At 45.7% G+C, this 18,708-nt stretch overlaps 1 long non-coding RNA gene across 2 annotated transcripts; it reads right to left on the reverse strand.

The window, feature by feature from the left end:
* Window positions 1-6,683: 6,683 nt before the first annotated feature.
* On the reverse strand, window positions 6,684-12,361 carry LOC105374534 (uncharacterized). Of its 2 annotated transcripts, XR_925488.2 has the most exons (4): window positions 10,963-12,361; window positions 10,658-10,879; window positions 7,853-8,839; window positions 6,684-7,617 (listed from the first exon to the last, which is right to left on the reverse strand). It is a non-coding gene; the product is annotated as an uncharacterized LOC105374534 (long non-coding RNA). The 2 variants fall into 2 exon arrangements; XR_007058087.1 differs by lacking the exons at window positions 6,684-7,617; window positions 7,853-8,839 and having other exon boundaries at window positions 9,467-10,879.

Here is an 18,708-nt window from a genome sequence, read left to right on the forward strand (position 1 = left end):
AGAAGTAACAATTGTAACCACAAACATCTGTGTGAAGCTCTACCCTTTATAAAGCCTGTTTCCATTCATAATCCCATCAGCTGCAGTTAAAAAAGCAGGCTTTTCCTTAGATCCAGAGCACCCAAGGGCCATAAGGATCTGTTTATTCATTTATTCATTCATTCACTTATCCACAAAGACTTACTTTTTGCCAAGCACTCCACTAGGTAACTATGTTCACCAACATTCTACAGAGAAACAGAACCAATAAGATGTGCATATATAAAGGGGGAGGTTTATTTTAAGAATTCACTCACAAAATTATGGAGGCTGGCAAGTCCACATTTTGGAGGGTGGGCCAGAAAGCTGGAGATCCAGGAAGAGCCAATTTGCAGTTGAATTCAAAGGTCATCTGCTGTCAGAGTGCCTTCTTGCTCATGGGAGGTCAGTCTCTGTTTTATTCAGGCCTTCAACTGATTGGATGAGGCCCACCCACATTATGGAGGGCAGTTTGCTTTATTCAAAGTTCACTGATTTAAATGTTCATCTCATCCAAAAACACCCTCACAGAAACATCCAGAAAAATATTTGGCCAAATAGCTGGGCATCATGGCCCAGCTAAGTTGACAGATAACATTTTATTTGCTTATTATCCTTTTTATTTTTACAAATTGATGGGGTACATGTGCAATTCTGTTACATGCATAAATTGCACAGTGGCCAAGTCAGGGCTTTAAGGGTACGCATCACCCAAATAATGTATATTGTAACCATTCATCAATTTCTCTTCATCCTCCCCTCTTCCACCTCCTCACCCTTCCGAGTCTCTATTGCACATAAAATTAACCATCACAATAATGAAGGCACTGAGCTGAATAAACCTAGCCCTATAGAAGGTCATAGGCTTGTAGTGAAAGCAATGGTATGTGCTAGAATAACTGTACAAGATTGAAAGTGATGCATGCTATAAAAGACATAGATGAAAGTGCTAGAAACCTGAATGCATTTCCTTTAGTCAGAGGAGGAAGTGAGGGAGCAAAGGGCTTTCTGAGAAAGGAGGATTTGAGTGGGATCTTGAAGAGTAGGTAGGATTTGGATGGGTGCACATGCACATAGAGGGAGGAACATGACACCAGCTAGACGGACGAGCATAAACAAAGAGAGATTAGAATCTGTACAGGGAGCATCCAGGAAGTCATTGTACTTATAGGCAGAGGAAATACTGAAAGAATTAAAAAGCAATATGGCAACCAACAGAGTAGACACAGGCCAATGCACCCTGTTGATGCATACCAGCTAGATATCAGCCTCAGCTATAGCACAGGGTTTTGAACATCTTCTTTCCCATCCCACTCCTGTAATAAGTGGTCTTATTTATTTGCACAGTTATCACTAATAATGGGTGAGCCAGGTTGTAGGAGGCAAGCATTACGGTGCTTGCCCCAGCATCCACTAAACCCAACTGTGGTTTCCCTCCCCAATCTCCAGCCCATACTCTTCAGTTTGTACTTCATCACTGGCTCTAGATGGGCCATGTGATGCAGTCCTAAGCCAGTCAGAGCCTCACACGCTCACTGCCAGGGAGATTGGTCAAGAACAATGACACCACTGGAGCCAATTATACACTGCAAGGCTATTGCGGTATTTTCACTCTTCTGCTCTCATCCTGAATACAAGAGGTGATAGGAGTGGAGCCACGGTCCTGTGTTCAGTTTGAGACTGAAGCCCAATACATTCATGGGCAGAGCAGAGAAACAGAGAAGATGGGTCCTGGTTACTTCGAATCCAGCCCACAGCACAGGGAGGAGGCTGTGAGACAGACAGCATGAGTCCAAATCCACAAGCACCTGGCAGTGCTTCAAAACCATGATAATCATCTTAACATCCAATGTTTATTAAGCACTTACCATGTATCAAGCACTAACATTGTATTTAATCCTTTCAACCTTCAAAGGTAGTTACTATGATCTCTCATTTTATAGCTGAGAAAACTGCCTCAAAAAAAAAAATTTAAGAAACATTCTCAAGGGCCCCCTCACAAGTCAGCAGTGAAATCAAGTTTCAAGCCCAGGTCTCTCAGATGTTGAACTCCGAGCTCTTGCTGCCTAAGTGGTTCAGAAATACCCGGAAAGAGGCCGGGTGTGGTGACTTACGCCTATAAATTCCAGCATTTTGGGAGGCCAAGGTGGGTGGATCACCTGAGGTCAGGAGTTCAAGACCAGCCTGGGCAACAAGGTGAAATCCCATCTCTACTGAAAATACAAAAATTAGCCAGGTGTGGTGGTGCACATCTGTAGTACCAGCTCCTGGGGAGGCTGAGGAGGGAGAATTGCTTGAACCCAGGAGGCGGAGGTTGCAGTGAGCTCGGATCGCACCACTCCACTCCAGCCTGGGTGACAGAGCGAGACTCTGCCTCAAAAAAGAAAGAAGAAAGAAAGACAGAAAGAAAGACGAAAGAAAGAGAAAGAAAGAAGGAAGGAAGGAAGGAAAAGAAAGAGAGAAAGGAAGGAAGGAAGGAAGGAAGGAAGGAAGGAAGGAAGGAAGGAAGGAAGGAAGGAAGGAAAGAAAGAGTGGAAAGATTTTTTTTTTTTTTTAATTACAGAGATCCAGGCCAACCCCTAGAGATCTGGGTCACTGGGTCTGGGGTGGGGGCCCAGACACCAGATTTTTTTCAGTGCTCCCAAAGTACTACAAATGGGCAGCCAGGATCAAGAGCCACTGGTCAAATCACATGGGATGAAGCTCTTATTTCTGTAAAGCAGTTTCAGGCATTTGTACAAAAACCATGTGACACTGACCTCCCAAACTCCCAGCAGCTTGGGGCGACCCCATGTTTCAGTAAACACCTCCCTTTAGATTACCTACACAATCTCGGCCAGCTCCTGATGGATGGAACTGAGATCTGACTTAAAGGAAGTGAGTGAGGGGTGAGGAATGGACTAGATGAGAAGAAGAGAAGCTCTCTTTTTTATTTGGCCTATCATTTTTAGAAAACACACTTTATAGTACTATGAAGGAACAGAAAGCAGCTGCTTTGGGAAACTCTGGGGGATGTCAGCTCCTGGCTTGTCACGGTTATGATCCATGTTCTGTTCCACTCCACTTACAAGAACAAATTTCCCCATGAAATGCCGGGTACAGTGTACACAGCTGGGCCCACCACACACACCGCAGCAAGGGCCAGGAAAGGGCCTGGCTGAGATAGGGCACGAGCCAGCCTTCCTCATCCTGGGGCCAGTTGGTTTTGTAGTTGTTGGAGGAGGGGAAGGGAGTTATTTGGTTTTTTTCCCAGAGGTTGGATGAATATAATCATTCAGGAGTTCCTCTCTGAACATTCTTCCTTGCTTTAAAAAAAAAAAAAAAAAAAAAAAAGCCTGGACTGCAATTTTGTCTTTATGGCCTTTCCCAGGAGATCGGCTTTTATTTCAAAAGTAAAACCCCAGCACAAAGGGTAAGGAAGCTTGCAAACCTTTTGAGGATGGCTGTATAGCAAAAGCTTTCATGAGAATGCTTCTGCAAGTCCTGTATTATCAGGAAAACGGCTTTTGCACTTGTTCTCAAAAATCTCCAGGTTCCTTCTGATTTTATGATTCTGAGTCTCTTGGTTCTAACACAGTGCTGGGCACATAGTTGATATTAAGCATGAAAATGGTGGTTTTTTGTTTTGTTTTGTTTTGTTTTGTTTCGTTTTGTTTTGTGTGTGAAAAAACATGAGCAGAAAAGAACGCCTATTGGCCAACTAGCTTCGTTCTTCATCAGCAAGACTCAGGACTTCAGTATCCCCTGAAATGTGAAATGATTACCAAATGGCTTGAATTTTGATGATACATTTCACCACTGGAGTGAAATTTAAGAAAAAAAATGCAAATACAAAATTATCCTATGTTTGTTGTTAGTATTTTAATGTGTTTCTACAAACAAACAAGAAAACATTAAAACTATATTCAGAGGGGTGGGGAGGGAGAGGAGATTCGATCCAGTGCTGGGAAGGATGTTATCCATTTCTAAAAGGCAACAGGGAGACCTTTGAACCCAGGACTCAACTCTTAAGACCTTCCTTTCAAACTGATTGTTACTCAACATCCTTTGCCTACAACCAAAGACAAATCGACCTATCTGTGCCAGATCACACTTCTCCTTCCTGTCCAAAAGGATAATGTGAGGGTCTCTGATAACATCTCACAAGATCAAGGTCCACCTGGTCTGGAGCATTTTGCAAATCCATATTAACCACATCCCAAAAGAGCCAGTGAGCCCATGAGAGTCCTGGGTGATTTTTACTCTTTTCTTCTACCAGTGTGCCAAACTGCCTAACAATTTTATAAGGGATTAACACCCTCCCATCTGGAACTTCTGCAATTTACCATTTTTTCCTTAAAAGGGAACTAAAAAAGCTCTTTCCATCGCCGGCTCTCTCATGCCACTGCCATACCTCGTGGTTCCTCAGGGAATACTCACAGCAGTTCCATGGCCATATCAGCAAGTTTTTCAGTGTCCTGGGGTGCAATTTAGCTGAGCTTTGGACATGGATGGTACTAATTTAAAGGAACTAGACATTTTTTCACTGTCCTCCTGGTCCGAAGGATCAGTTTGCTTGTTCCCTAAATAGTTGCTTTAAAGGTAAGCTTCTCTGAAAAAGCTAAAAGCAGACTTAGTGTGGTTATAGTCTGTTCTGGGCTTCAACACTTGCTGCTTATAGGCTCACAAGGAATCCTTGCAACAACTCTATGCAGTAGGTACAGCTGTTTACCCTCTCGTGCAGATGAGAAAACTGAAGGACAAAGAGAGTAACTTTTCCAAGGTCACACAGCTCATAAGTGGCAGAGCCGGCCACGCAACCCCCGTCCTGAACCACCATGCTACACTGATCTGTTCCTTGTCACTTTTTTTGAGCTTAGCTTGCAAAGTCCTTCATGATTGGCAGGTGGAATTATGGGACATGATTTTCTCTTTTCTGTTCAAGTGTTTTGCATCAAACAATTGTTTTTAAACCCTTTGAGATAGCTCTAGCGCCCCGACTGACCCCAGCCTTAATGGAACCCGAGCCTTCCTCTACCAGACCTGGCCTCCCTGCCTCCTTCAGCCTCCCCCTGGTTGACAGCATCAGTCACGGGGCTGCTGCCTCCTTCACTCTGCAGCGGGAAAGCCCACCCGGCTCCTTGTCTGCCTCCTGACTCATCCCCTGTCGGTCCTTTTGGGAGCCACAGATCCAATGGAGCTGGATGGTAAGGACCAAAGACTCTCCCCTGGAAGCATTGTGACTCCAAGAAAAGACTTGATATTATAAGTTGAATTGTGTCCCCTCAAATTCACATGTTGAAGCTCTAACTCCCAGCTCATTAGAATGTGACCTCATTTAGAAATAGGGTCATTGCAGATGTAATTAATTAAGATGAGGTCACAGTAGAGTTGAGTGGGCCCAATCCAATAAGACTGGCGTCCTTACAGAAAGGGGAAATTTGAACACAGATCTACACAGAGAACACCACGGGAAGATGAAGGCAGAGATGGGGCAATGCATCTACAAACCAAGGAACACCAAAGACGGCCAGCAAACCACCAGGAGCTAGGGAGGGGCATGGAGCAGATGCTGCCTCACAGCCTCAGAAGGAACCAGCTCAGCTGACACGTTGACCTGGGCTTCCAGCCTCCAGAATTATGAGGTAATACACTTCTGTTGATTATACCACCCAGTTTGTGGTACTTAGTTACACAGCCCTAGGAAACTAATACACTGAATATCACATGATAAAGAGGAAAAAAAGAAAATTCCAGTTAACAAAATCCTCCAGCTCTCCTCTTAGATTCCCTTCTTTTGGGAAACCTTTCCAGAGCCCTTGACCGTGGCCCTACAGAAAAGGGGACTGGCGGAGCTCGCTGGCAGAAGAGAAGGCCAGGACGTGGCGTTGAGATGGTATGCTGCAGGGATAACATGCTAGTGTGTTTATTTGTGGTGCCTTTGGTGGAAAGCTTGTGAGGCTGGGAGGAAATAAAGGCACCTCCGAGGTCCCCGTTAGGCTCCATCCTGCCCCGAGTCTGGGTAAGGTGCTCCTTCCACGTGTTTCCTGCCTTAGCTCCTTAGGCTTCCCCCATCCTCCCTCCCATCGCATGGCCTGAAGATCGTCTCTTTCCTTGTTGGCTCCCCAGCTAGACTCACCCTCAGGACCAGACTAAGGTCAGGAGATGCCCACTGGCTCCCCATTGTATCTGCATGGCCAGGCGACATGCCGGGGCCACCGTACACATCTGTTAGGTGGATGGATCGATCGTGTGTGTATAGGAGGAAAACGAGAGCCAAAGAGCTACGAAGATGAAGCCAGGCGTGGTGGCTCATGCCTGTAATTCCAACATTTTGAGAGGCCAAGGTGGAAGGATAGCTTGAGACCAGGTGTTCAAGACCAGCCTGTGCAACAAAGCAAGACCCCATCTGTACAAAAAGTAAAAAAATAAGCCAGTTGTAGTGGCATGCATCTACAGTCTCAGTTACTTGGGAGGCTGAGTGGGGAGGATTGCTTGAGCCCAGGAGTTCAAGGTTACAGTGAGCTATGATTGCAACACTGCACCCCAGCCTGAGTGACACAGCAAGACTCTGTCTCAAAAAACAACAACAACAAAAACTACAAAGATGAAAAGCAGAAAGGGAAGGTAAAGAAGAAGCAGAATATTTTAAAAATAAGAGGAGGAGTGAAAAGGGAGAGAAAAGAGAGAGAAAAAGGACAAAGAAAGAATGAGAGAAGGACAAGAAGAATATGCATTTTTCTGATATGGATTCACAATTCCTGGTCTGATCCTCTTGGGACCAGGTGTTTTTCATATTCCAAATCTGGGGGTTTTTAAAGAGGGTACTGTGGGGCATTGTACCCACATGAGGGCAGCCTCCTGTACACAAACACACATTGACATTTCTGCAGCAAAAAGGTATGTATATTCACACAATGTGGGATAAACAAAGACTAGAAAGAGCCTCACGTAGTTGGAGTTGGGTCAGATTTTCTTAAACTTTAGGTTTTCAGAGGATTTTGGACTTAGGAGGATGTTCATGGAGCATGGTTCTCTTATGGGGCCTCTGCAACCCAAGCCATGCTAAGATGGAGTCTGCTCACACTTTTTGTGTCTAAGAAGGCAAAATGCCCGGGGCCGAGAGCCTTTCCCCTGCTGTTGTGTTCTCAGGTCTCATCCAAGGTGAGTTTTGGGCCAAGTGTTCCCAAGAAAGCATTGAGGACAAACCATTTGCTCAGTCTAGAAAAAGACAGGGCTTTGTTCGCAATCAAAGCAAGATGAAGAATGAGAGACAGGGAGAGAAGCCTTCGTATGGAAAATCCAGTCCTTTAGTTGCATAATCTTCACTTTTCCCCACTAATAAGCCCCATTTTCCATTATTCTTTTCTGGGAAATAGTTCCACAGTCATTTTCCCAGCTGCTGGGCCCCCGCCTCTGCTGTCCTGGCTGCAGATGGTCTGGGCAGCGTCTGGTGGAACCCCCATGGGGCCTCCAAGCATTGAGAGTGCTCCCCTCCTACAGGATTTGTCCTGGAACCAGCTGAGCTTACTATTGAATGGCCTGAGGCAGCCGCAGACATATTTCTGCTGTCACTCAAGGATCCTGGAGCGTATCCAAGCCCAACTCCCAGTGCCATATCTAGAGGTGAGGGTTAGGATAGGGCAGAGAAAAGAAAACAAGATTCACGGCCAGGTAGGTTTGGCTTTCAGGCTTGTCTCTGCCACTTGTCATGTGATCTTAGGCACATGACTTCATCTTTCTGAATTTCAGTCTCCTCCTCTGTAGAAAGTGAATAGTGATATTCTCTTGCAGAGCTGTTGTGAAGGTGAAAGGAGATAACATAGGATAATATAGGAAAAGCCTAGGCCCTTACTGAATAGCAAGTGTTCCTATGTTTGTTGTTCCATGAACCATCTGTTGACTCTTCTTTGGGGAGTGGTTTCCTGTTTCCTAGGTGGTGGTTGGGGTGACGGCTGTGGGAGAAATTGGAAGACTTTTGGAACAAGTCCCTGAGTTTCTCCTGCCCTGGTCCATACTCCCCAGACCTCAGGCAATTCCACAACTTTTGGGACCCTCCAGAAAGCTGTCCTGCAATTGGGCCGGTTTCTATAAAGCAAAGTTGACTTCAAAACCTCCCTCTCCAAGATGTCAATGGTTAGAAGCAACCCACTGGTGATCACACCAGCTCACTCGACCTGGCCTACCTAGGGGCCAGTGTAGCTCCAGGGCTGGCCCTGCCCCAAGCAGACACCTCCACCTGCCTGGGCACATCTGCCCTGGACCAGCCCCTTGGTGCTTCCCAAGTCAGCTGCTGCCGTGGTCGGCAGCTCACAGAGCTCTCATAGACAGGGAGGAGACCCAGCCAGCACTGACCACTGGTATTGATGCCCAGGGCAACACAAGGCCTCCTCAGCTCTTAGGACTCACCTGTGTCAGGTTGAGATTCTACTCACTGTGCATGGTCACTATTGTCTGTGCAGTGCTGTTGGCTCCTGGTGTCTGTCCGTGGAGTCCTCATGGTCCAAGATGGTTGCTTGAGCTCCAGCTACCATGTCTGTGTTCCGACTGCTTCCTCCCCACCCAGTGACCATCACTGAGCACACATCTCACTGATTCATGTGATGGTTCTAAACAAATCTATACATTATTTGAGAAAGGCGGGAGTCTGTGTCCCCTCCTCCTGAGACTGAGCCAGCCTTTGTGACTTACTTGTTACCAATAAAAGGCAATGGAAGAAAGGCCACATGCCTCATCCCAGAAAGCTCATGCAGTTTCCAGCTGGTACTCTTGCCAGGCGTGCTCTTGGGGACAGCCACCACTAAGTCTCACGCCCCAGGATCATCATGTTGAAAGGTCACACCTGAAGGGAATAGCGTTGTTATAAAGACTACTGGATAGGACCAGGCACGGTGGCTCACGCTTGTAATCCCAGCACTTTGGGAGGCCGAGGTGGGCGGATCATTTGAGGTCAGGAGTTTGAGACCAGCCTGGCCAACATGGTGAAACCCCATCTCTAGTGAAAATACAAAAATTAGCCGGGTGTGGTGTCGCGCACCTGTAGTCCCAGCTACTTGGGAGGCTGAGGTAGGAGAATCGCTTGAGCCTGGGAGGTGGAGGTTACAGTGAGTTGAGATCGCGTCATTGCACTCCAGACTGGGCAAAAAAAAAGAAAAAAAAAAAAGAAAAAAAAGACTACTGATGTCAGTTAGAGGGCCCAGCACTGGTCAGGCCACAGTTCCTGGGAAGTGGTTCCTCTCTCTACCCTGCTATGGAAGCAGTTGGGGAAGCTGCTAGGAGGGTGAGCTCTGGAGGCTGAGTGTTGGGAGTCACATGCTGCTTCCTCTGCTCATTGGCATGTGTCCTTATGCGTTACCTACCCACTGGGCCTCCTTTTTCATCTGTAAAATGGGTATGATAATTGTCACCACCTCACAGAATTGATATGAAGATTAGATTAGTTAATAAATGAGACAGTCTCAGAACTGTGTCTCACTCAATATCACCTGTTTTATTTCATGCCACCAATTATTTCATAAAATTACTGTTTCCTCATATATAGCTTTCTCTCCACTGGAATGTGGCTGTACAGGGCAGGCACTATGGTCACTGTGCTGGTGACCATCCTATCCTCACTGCTGGGTCACCACAACCTCGAAGAGTGTCTGTCACACAGCAGGGACTTGAATCAGTTTGGATCAGGTTTTTTTGCTTTTTCTTTTATTTTTGAGTTTGGATCAGGTTTGACTATGTGTAACAGATCAACTCAAAACAACAGTGGCTTTAAAAGGGAGCAGTTTATCTGCCTCTCAGGAATAAGAGGTGTCTGGAGGCGTACACCCCAGGAAAAGTTTTGTGAAACTGTCATTGTCAGAGGTCCAGACTCCTTCCATCTTGCTCCTGCAGCAGGTTTAGTGTGTCTACTTCATGGTCCATGATGGCTGCTTAAGCTGCAGCCATCACATCTGAATTCTGTGTCAGGAACAAAAAGGCACAAAGAGGCATAAAAAGGCATACCAGTTTTTTTTGGCGAAAATTTCTAGCAGTTCTATACAATAATTCAGTTTACATCTCATTGGCCTAACCTTAATGCATGGTTACATCAGCTAGGAAGCTTATCCCACTGGGAAGGGCAGTGTTATTCCCACCGGGAAGGGCAGCATTATTCCCAGTTAAAGTCAGGATTCTAAGGGACAGGAGGAAATATTGAGAAGAAATGAGCAGTCTCTGGCCAGTGCTCAGTAACTCTCAGACAGATAGATAAATGGTCCAGCCCGCCTCTGCCCTTTCCACCCACGCCCTGGGGGTTCCCACTGCCCTGCAGGCCAGCTGACCTGTGATTTGCGCCAGCTTTGTCTCTAGAAGGCTGTGACTACTGCCTGAGAGGGAGTCAAAAGGTAGGAAGGAGGCTGGCTCAGGAGAGGGGAATGGTGCAAGGCAGAAGCAGCCACTCTTCCATCCTTGGCATACCCATCCTTGACAATGACACTGTCATCAGTCATCCCTTCCATGCCCAGGGCCTGCTGTGGCAGGGACTTTGGGGGCTTGCTCCAAAGGAGTGAGGATAGCTAAGGACAAGACCAATCTTCTTTACTTCCTAAGATTTCATCACCCCAGGACTTCATCTGCTTGGTTACCAGATGGTTATCACCATCTACCCCCACAGGACACAAGCTGTCACCTTGTGGCCACCGTCAGTGCGAGTCAGCAGTCCTCTGGGCAGGTGTGAAGGTTCCAGCTGATGAATGGGAAACTTCAGGCCGGAGAGGGAGGGCAGAAGCCCTACTCAGGCTCTTGGGTCCCAAGAGCCCTGCATCCTCTTTGGCTCAAGGTGCAAAATCTTCTGAGAAGGTTGGGCCATAGTGGGTTCCGGAAACAGGTGCCAAGTCACAAGCTTCTGCTTCTGAAAGGGGAGAGCAGGGAGCTGGATTTGGGCAAATCTAGGCCAGGTTCACACATGCTGAGTGGACAGACTCTGGCTCCTACCTGGATCCTGCTCCTCTGCAGCTTTCTGTGCTCGTGGTCATTGTCCGTCTCGCTCTATCCTGGCCTCTTCTGCTGACCACCAGAGCCCCACAGACCACGACCTCTGGCCTGGGCTGAGTCTTCTGGCTGCTAGGAGTGGAGGATTCACAAAGTTCACAGTCTCATTAGTCCTCAGGAATAAAAGGTCCTACTTGGCTACTAGATGATTCCTTACCGCCATCACCAACACCAAAGCCAAGATCAAGGGAAGACCGTCACGGGTCTCTTGAGGACCTGAGCATGGAGGCGGGCACCAATGCAGAACACTGAGCTCTTCGTTGACTTTGGCAAAGTTCTTGTCCCATGCTATGCACTTTGCACCTAGCATCCTATTTCGTTTTCCCCTCAACCCCGTGCTGTTGAGACCATTGTTATTATCCCCATTTCACAGATGAGGAAACTGAGGTGTAGAGAGGTAGACTTGCCCAAGGACCTCACCTACAGGGAAGCCCCAGTGACCCTGTGGGGAGGTAAAAAAGGACATCTAGAAAACGTGTGATCTCCTCTTGGTGGCAGGGGCCTTGCTAGCAAAGCAAGAACATTGCAGACATGAATGCTGGATCTAGATATTTTGGTTATCACCTGGCATGACAGAGTGTTAGAGGTGGACTGACCCGGGAGAGGACCAAATCCAAAATTCTCCTTATGCAGAGGAGGAAACGCAGGCCAGAGTGGGGAAGCACCTTGCCCTGGCTTCATGTCAGCAGGTCCAACGTGCAGCCTGCTCTCATTTAGTTCGGACATTTCTTTTCCCTGATGAGTTGCTATTTTGTAAAAAGGCTTTTCTTTGGTTTAAAAAAAAAAAAAGTATTTCTGTCCTGTGGGCATGGTTGGATTTTCCCTCAACTTTTCACTAGCACCAAGTGCAAAAAAGGCTGAGGTTGTTACACAGTGACAAGCACCCCCTATCAGTATATTTTGGGAGGACAAACAACTTCAAGGGACTCAGCATCATCTTATCATGACACCTCCCACTCCCAAGAGTGATCTACGTAAGTATCATGCTAAACACTTCACAGTTACTCCATCGCATCCCCCAGTCCCTGACGGAGGAACTCCTCCTTACTTTTCGCGTCTTGTAGCTGAGGACACTGAGGTTTATCCAGGGAACCTATCCAAGATTACACACTTGATAAACAGCAGAACCAGCTCTAAAGGAGGGTTGGCAAACCACAGCCCACAAGTGAGATCCAACCAGCTGCCTATTTTTGCATGGCCCATGAGCTGAGAATAGTTCTTACACTTTTAGAGGATTGGTGGGGCGGGGGGGAAAGGACCAAAGAAGAATATTTCACGACTCGTGAAAATTATATGAATTTCAAATGTCAGTGTCCATAAATAAAGTTTTATTGGGACACTGCCATGCCCATTCATTTACAGATTGCTGCTGCTTTCGAGTAGTTGCAACAGAAATGGTACGGCCAGCAAAGCCTAAAATATTTACTGCCTGGCCCTTTACAGAAAAAGTTTGCTGACCACCCCCGCTCTAAAGCAAAGGCTCCTACCCCATGTTTTAATGTTCCAAGAAAGCTCCAAGGCTGGCATCAGAACTGTGAGCGTCAGGGTTTCCAGACCTTACCCTCAGAATGACGCCAGACAAGACAAGCCATGGAAATCACCAAACTTCTCTGGGGCTTAACTGCAAAATAAGGATAATCATCATGCCCTGCCTGGCTCCTAAAACTGTCAGAAGATGAAAACAAAATAATGTACATGAAAGCATTTTGTAATCCAGAAAGCACTCTACAGAAATGGAAATGATTCAGAGAAAGAGGGCTGGTATAAAGGAAAGAAGCCAACTGGAGGAGGTGGGGGCGGGTTTGCCTTGCTTTTGCAGGATTCATTAATAAAACAGACCAAGCCTGTTGGGAATGGCCTTTGTCATAAACCCTGTGCCCCTTGCTCCCCCATGGAGCATATTCTTTGACCCTGAAGCATGGATTCATCTCTTAAAACATTTACATTTGGGGCCAGTGTCACTGTCCCAGAGAAATGGCTTGCAGGGCATTCCCAGGTTTGGGCTTCTTCCCAAGGTGTGGGCTTCCTCCATGAGGCAATTTTAAGGTACTAGGAAGACTTCCCTGTCCCCAAATTCACTCTGCTCTTTTCTGCTCACTGATTTGCAAAATTTCACGGAGATTCATTTCTGTGATTATTCCAAATCTGTTAAAACAAATATTTCTGGACTAGGCTATCATTAAACCCTGTTGGTTATTTCTAGAGTGTGAACAAATCAGTTGATCATTTGTTCAAGAAATATTTGCTAAGGTCCCGCAAAATGTAGGAGACCAATGGGCATTCGAGGGACAGACAGGAGACGCTAGGAGGGTGAAACCGAATCAGATGTTGTCACCACTGTGTCCAACCAGCTCCATTTTTCAAGGTGTTTAAGAAAGAGAAGGGAGAAAGAAAAGAAGGTGTAGCAAGAGTTCCAGCAGGCATGGTTAGGGCTGGAATCCTTCTACGATGGAGAAGGGTGAGAGGCAGCAGAGCCCGAGAGCTAAGTTTTGTGGAGACACATTTTGATTTTGTGAAGGGGTATTTGGAGCTGCTGCCTGGTAACTCCGGGGTGGAGTCCACTGCTGCCATGAACCCCCTCCCACTTACAGGGGAACCTGCTGTTTTTGACTGTCAGCACAAAAGCCAATCTGAACCCGACAGCAGCCCAGCTTTCCTATCGCTCCCCACCCACAGGCGCAGCCCCCCTGCTGGCACCATGGATGCCTGACACTCAGCTGATCTTTTAAAAGTGAGAAACAAACAAAACTCTGTGCAGAATTGGATGTTTATTTCCACCATCTGCATGGCAATACAAGTTCAAGTTATAATGGCATCCGCTCTCCATCAGTATTAGGCAACCATTTAAACATCTACAGCCATTTACTGATTATAAACACACACTAAAAAAAAAGGCGGCAAGTGGCATGTGGCCCCACACCTGCTGCCTCTGTGTGCGTCAGTCAATTTCATGCCTAGGAAGCTCTGGGCTCCATGGGGATGGATCTATAAAGCAGTTTGGTTGGTTGTGGGTTTTACTTTTTTTTCCCTGGGAACAGCATAAACCAAGTTGGCCCAAAATACACTTATTGCAAATAGATGGGAATAAATGGAAAATAGACAATGATCATTTGCTTTTAATTAGAAGATAAAAATTGATGAGTGTTTTTACTGGCCTTCAAGAAAAGTTAGCAGGGATTACTGTTCAAATGCTCCTGCTTGCCACCACCCCCACCTCTCCCATCCCAGGAAGGTCTGAGTCACCAGGCAAGGACGGAACAGCACATCAACTGGATGTGGTGAGAGGCACTGGAAACTGAAGAAATCGATGCAATTTATAGGGGGAAAAAAAGAAAAGTTGATCCAAAAACTGGGAAAACGTTTTCTGGATCAACTTTTTGTCTTGCAAAAGGTTTCCCTACCTCCTTCAGACCTGCCCCTGGCCGTCATGGGCCTGTGGCTGGCTGCAGCCTGAGACCTGCCTCAGTACCGTCCTGAAGGGGCTGTGTGGTTTTGGGTTGCCATTCTCAGAATCTGCTTTATTACCTGGGAGAGCTAAAATGGGGAATTTCATAAGACTAATGGATTCCTAGGGACTCTGGATCTTACATTTCCAGGTTAATGTCTCCAACGTAAGGTTTGTTTTGGTTTGTCTGAGAGTTTTCTAACTAAAAGTATCTTCTGCCACTGTGGTGTAAAGGCCCCACTGATTGCCCATGACCAAGTTTTTTGGAAGGAGGAGTGGGAATAGACCTCTCTCAGCTTCTGATCTGGTCAGAAGCTCCAAGTTCTCCCAGAAAGCTCCTTCATCTCTCTCATGTGATCCATGAAGCGCATCAGAGACTCTTCCACCAGGAGCACCACAGTCAGCTCCTCTGCTCCACCCCGGGGGTGCCTCTCTGCCCCCCTTTCCTTTGAACACTGGTTTTGAGATGGCGCTCTGCCTTCTCGGCTCATTGAGCCTGGCTAGCGGGAACCCAGCATAGCTTGCTTTGTCTTCAATCCATTTTAGAATAAAAGTTAGCTCTATATAGCTACAACAATTACCACCCCACCACCAGCATATTACAGAACTAATCCTATTTGGGGTTCTAACTTAAAGCCTCACATTGGGAAAGTTGGCATTGAAAGTGAATTATTACACACCAATGTGGACTCAAGTCCATTTCTCACGATAACCAGCAAAACTTGAAGCTTGTCAAATTATAATTTCTCCAGCATCCTGAAAGACCTTTGGGAGCCTGTGTGGAGGCATAAACATCTCCTGTAAATCCAGTTTTATTAACCCAGGGGAAAGTTGTTTTAAAAAAAAAAACAAAATGAAAACACTGTCTCAAGTACTTTCAATCTCCCCTCTCTGCACTTCTGTAATTGTCACTGGTTCCTAATGCTTCCTGATTCCCTCCTCTTACCCTTTTTCCACTAAAATCTACCCTTAGGATCTTATTTGCATCCTGACTAACGGGTAAAAGGAAGGTCATTACAGAAATGAAACCGACAGCATATTTTACAACATCAAGACATTATTGTTAAATTTTTCAGGTGTGATAATGGTATTGTGACTTAAAAAACAAAAATGACTCCTTTCCTTTGGTGACCCATATTGAAATGTGAGCTACACCCAGAAATGATGATGAGATTTGCTTAAAGTGATAGAGGGGAGGACTGGCTGGTGCTGTAGGTGAAACAAAACTGGACTTGGTATGTGCCAAAGCTGATTAATGGATACTAGGCGTCATCATATTTTTTGGTATATGCTTGAAAGTTTCTATAATAAAAAGTGTGTTTTTTTTTTTAACAAAAAGCCCACTCTTAGGGAAACATCTGATAAATACATCCAAAGTAAGATGTCACCAACGAATAAGGATAAATAGCAGTTATCTATTTCCTGAGGCATCTGCGTTTAACAGGACTTAAAAAGCCTTAAGACAAAGAAATGAATCCAACAGTGCAAGTCAGGCAGGAGAAAAGAGAAGGGGAGCGAGTGGCCACCTCCAAAAAGGCCACTGAAGCCAAGCGCTCTGAAGAGAGTTCCAGGCTCAGTTTTCTTTCTTTATCAGAACGAATAGGATTTAATAAAGATAGGCCAACAAATACAACTACATTTTACAAAGACTGTTTCTGGTGCTATTTTATTGAGGATCTTTTCCAGTTTATTTTTAACCACCATTTAATAATTTTAAATAAGATTCATTTAATAATAGCTACTGTCAGACCACTTGCTATATACGAGACTTTTTGCTAAGTACTTTATATATGATAGATTCTTCCATTTGATCTTTATTTCAATCCTGTGAGATATTATCCCCATTTTACTGATGAGTCAAAAGTAACTTGTGCAAGATCACTCAGCCACTAAGTGCAGAGCCAGGGTTGAAGTCTGGCCTCTCACTTTGTGATCACTGTGGTGCCCAGGAGAAACCTCTTCCTGAAGGTTGGTCACTGAACAACTGATTCACCTTCTCACGGCATATGGACCACTTATCAAAGGTGTACTAAATCATTGAGTCATGAACCATTCCTCAAAACAGTAGTTAGTATTTAAAATCATAAAATAGCTAAAAAAAGATGCCAGATGAAAACAATGGCATAATCTGCGATAGCCAACACAGAAAAGATTCATGAGGCTAATGAACCTTACTGACGATTGGTGTCACTGTAGTAGTACCAAGTGGATGCAACTGGGTTTAGTAGACATGTTTAGAGCAAGGGAGAAAAGAATGAGTAGAAATGTGTGCAGAAGGGTGTAGGTCATTCTGTTGGCCACGGGTATCAAAGGTTGGATTCTCTGGGAGGTACATACTGAGGCAAAGTTAGGACAGCAAAAGTTTTATTGGGGAGTAACACCTAAAAAAGAAAAGAGGGGAAGCAGGCCAGGGCAGGGGGAGCCCTCGGACTGTGATGCAGACCCAACCAAGTGTCTGCTAGCCCAGCAGGGAGCTCCAGAGCCGCACTGGGTGGAAATGGCTAGGCCCTTATATCTGCGCCTTGCTCAGAAACTGGCTAAAGGCCATGACTTTGGCTCAAAGACAGGCTTGAGCTAACCTTGAAGGAGCTAACAGTAGGGAGGCTGTCAGCTAAGCACACTCCTTGCAGCTGGGTAGTCTTTCCGTGCAAGATCTGAACAGAACCTCTTTGTGTCTACCACCCAAGTAAAATTTTTAGAGCTCTATTCTAGGAGAGATGGAAAACCACTGAGTAGTTTCAATCAGATACAATGGGATTTCAAACATAGTTATATAAATACTTAATAATACCTATTGAATCATTCATGCAATAAATATTTGAGTGTCTGTCATGTTCCAGGTGCTGTTTAGGTGCTTGGGATACACGAGTGAACAAAACGAAGATTCTGCTTCAGTGGAGTTTATGCTATAGCCAGAGAGGGAGAGACAAACAGTACAACATAATAAATATGTAGATGACAAACTATGTTGGACCTCTGCTCCTCAGTGTGGTCATGGGCCAGCAGTGTGGGCACGCCCTAGGGATTTGCTAGAGATGCTGCCCCACCCCAGACCTAGTGAATTTGAATCTGCATTTTAACAACTCCAGATGATTCTTACAAACCCTAAAACTGAGGCCCCACCCTCAATTTTAAGACAATTTTTACACAATGTTAACCGGGGGTAGGGGGAGGGGGAGATAGCTACCGTATTAAAAAGGGTAGTCAAGGTAGAGCTCATTGAAAAGGGAGAACTTTGGTAAAAAGTATGAAGGAAGTGAGTTAGCCAAGCATCTGGGTTAAGAGATGTTTCCAGGCAGAGGGACTAGCTTGAGGCAAGGCTCTAAGGCAAAGCATGCCTGGAGTGTTTGAGGAACAGCAAGATGGCCAGTTTGGCTGGAATGGAGCAGGCAAGGATGAAGAGTTGGGTCAGAAAGATAAAGGGGGAGTGGTTATGATGGCCAGTGCTGTGGGGCCTTTTGGGACACAGCAAGGCCTTGGGCTTATTCTCTGAGTGACATGGGAGCTACTGCAGGAGTTTGAACAGACAAGCGACAGGACCTGTTTCCAGAGGATCACTCTGGCTGTGTGTGCGTCACATACCTAGGAAGCTCTGGGCTCCATGGGGATGGATCTATAAAGCAGTTTGGTTGGTTGTGGGTTTTACTTTTTTTTTCCCTGGGAACAGCATAAACCAAGTTGGCCCCATGTGTAAACGGACATGGGTAGAACCAGGGGAATCAAGGGTACTGTCATAATCCAGACAAGAAACACTGGGAGTTCAGAACTGGCTGGTTACAGAGCAGGTGGGAAATGGCTTGATTCTGGATAAATTAGTACATAGATATAGCATGATCTCTTGATGGATTTGGCGTAGGATGTGAGAGAGAAAAGTAGAGGATAACTCCAAGGTTTCTGGCCTAATCAACTGAAGAGAAGTTCAGATCACAGGTTTTCAGGGGAGATCAAGGAATCAATCACCTTTGTCATGTGGAGGTTGAGATGTCTATCAGACATGCAAAAGATGTTGACTAGGCAGTTGCATACAAGTGCAGGGTTGAGGAAAGAAGTCTGCTAAAGATATCCATTTGGGAGCTATGATCAGCTATTCTACTACAAAATCATGTAAGAATAGGGCTAAATATACTGAACAACTGGCATGCCTGTAGATCTGCCTATTATACCATAAATTTTGGTCAGATAATATAATCAATGTGGAAGTGATTGTGATGTGAACTTATTCTGTATATGTTTCCTGGGTTGTG

The sequence above is a fragment of the Homo sapiens genome, chromosome 4 (genome assembly GCF_000001405.40).
Source record: "Homo sapiens chromosome 4, GRCh38.p14 Primary Assembly".
In the NCBI taxonomy this organism is placed as follows: domain Eukaryota; kingdom Metazoa; phylum Chordata; class Mammalia; order Primates; family Hominidae; genus Homo; species Homo sapiens.